The sequence below is a fragment of the Homo sapiens genome, chromosome 2, assembly GCF_000001405.40.
Source record: "Homo sapiens chromosome 2, GRCh38.p14 Primary Assembly".
NCBI lineage: Eukaryota > Metazoa > Chordata > Mammalia > Primates > Hominidae > Homo > Homo sapiens.
Window position 1 is genome coordinate 56995644 of NC_000002.12, and position 2507 is coordinate 56998150.

Consider the following 2507-nt stretch of genomic DNA (forward strand, 5'->3'; position numbering starts at 1 on the left):
TAGGCCCCCAATCTCTTTTGGCTGGTAGGGTTTCAGCAGAAAGGTCCACTCTTAGCCTGATGGGGTTCACTTTGTAGGTTACCTACCCTTTCTCTCTAGCTGCTTTTAACTTTCTTTTTTTCATTTTGACCTTGGAAAATCGGATAATTATGTGATTATGTGTCATGGGGATTATCTTTTTTTTTTTCTTTTTGTAGAATCTTGCAGGAGTTCTCTGTATTTCCTGAATTTGGCTGTTGGCCTCTCTAGCAAGGTTGGGGAAATTTCATGGGCAATATCCTGAAATATATTTTCCAAGTTGTTTGCTTTCTCCCCGATATGGTTTGGCTGTGTCCCCACCCAAATCTCACCTTGAACTGTAATAATCTCCATGTGTCAAGGGCAGGGTCAGGTAAAGATAAATGAATTATAGGGCAGTTTCCCCCATACTGTTCTCATGGGAGTGAATAAATTTCATGAGATCTGAAGGTTTTATAATGAGAGTTTTCCGGCACAAGCTACTGCCTGACGCCATGTAAGACATGAGTTTGCTCCTCGTTCACCTTCCAGCATGATTGTGAGGCTTCTGGAGCCATGTGGAACTGTAGTGAATTAAACTTCTTTCCTTTATAAATTATCAAATGTCAGGTATGTCTTTATTAGCAGTGTGAGAATAGACTAACAATACATTCCCCTTCCTTTTCAGGAATACCAATGATTTGAAGATTTGCCCTCTTTACAGAAACCCTACTTCTCAGAAGTTTTGGGTTTTTATTTGGGCTTTTATTCTTTTTATTCTTTATTTTTGTGTGACTGGCTTATTTAAGAGATCCAGTATTCAAGTTCTGAGAGTCTTTCCCCCGCTTGGTCTATTCTGCTGTTAATACTTGTGATTGCATTGTGAAAATCTCCTGTTGTGTTTTTCAGCTCTGTGAGACCTGCTAGGTTCTTTTTTATACCAGCTATTTCACCCTTCAATTCCTGCATTATCTCATTGTGATTCTTAGTTTCCTTAGATTGGATTTTGCTGTTCTCCTGAATCTCAATGATTTTCATTCCTATTCTTATTCTGAATTCTATTTCTGTCATTTTAGCCAGCTCAGCCTGGGTAAGAACTCTTGTCAAAGAACTGTTGCAGTGGTTTGGAGTGCTTATAACACTCTTGCCATTTGAGTTACCAGAGTTCTTGCATTTTGTTCTCTTCTTTTTGTGTGGTTGTTCCTGAAACTACAGTGTAGATTGAGTTTAGTCAATAGACTTGTTTTCTGGATGTTTCCACAGGGATGAAGCTTTGTGCAAGGTCTTTATTTGAAGTTGACTTCTTGTCTTTTGTGTCAAAGTAGAGTATATTAGTGAGATATTTTTGGTGTTAAAACTCTGGGGAATGTGATCCTGTAGGTGGCACTTAGGCATATTGGTCTGTTGGTAGACTCTTGCTTGATTGTGTGGCTCCCCTATGTTACCTCATAGTTGCAGCTGTGTTCCCTCTCAATGTTCTGAAAGTGCAAGTTCCTTTCCCCCTTGAGCAATGGCAGTAGATGCAGATACTCAACTCCTTGGCTGCCCACTGCAACTCTGGTGTAATCTCAGGGTTACTGTTCCTTACCCAACTTGGAGGCAGCAGAGGAAGGGACCTTCATAGTGGTTGTGGCCAAGGGTCTTTTGCTTATCTTCTGGGGGCTCCACCCCAGAGAGATGCAGGTCAAATCGCTCAGTGCAATCAACCCAGGATGGAGGGTCTATGCTGTGGGTCAAAGCTAGGGGTTCCTGTCTGCTGACAAAAGTCAGGGATGGAACAGGGGATGGACTGGCCTTTTCTCCTTGGGTTGACTGCAGGTTGTTGGAAGTGTAAATAAACACTTAGGGTCTCTGACCCTTCATTAGTCTGGGGCTAGAAAGGACAGTTCCACTGAAGAGGTAGTGGCAAAGAGGCTTTCAGTTGGCCCTAGAGGCTCTGTCCAGGGAGTTGCAGAGCTGCCACTGGCTTGATAGCTCTGGCAAGAGAATGACTGGGGGCCCAGGCCTGGAGGAACTGCCTAGTGAGTAGATATGGGAACAGGCCCCCACATAACAGTCTGGCCACTTTTCACAGGGCTATTACAATATGCTGGGGGTCCACTTCAGTCCTTATTCACCATGGATTTTCCAGTACCTGAAGGTATCAAAAGTGAAGGCTGCAAAACAGGAAAGACAGCAGCCTGCCCCTGCTTTGGGGGCTTTGTCCTAGGGTGGTACAGACCTGTTGCCTGCCTGAATACACCTGTAAGAGGTGGCTGGAGACCCCACTTGGGAGTTTCTACCCAGTGAAGAGGAATGGGATTGGGGACCCACTTTAAAAAGCAGCCTGTTACATTTTCATAGGACATCTGTGCTGTGCTGGAAAACCACTTCAGTCCCCAGTTGGTTTGGGCTCCCCAAAGCCTAAAGGCTGGCACAGTGCATTAGTCAATTCTCATAGTTCAACATTGTTGGTGAGGGCCCAGGAAACTTAACAATCATGGCAGAAAGGAAAGCAAACAAGTCCTTTT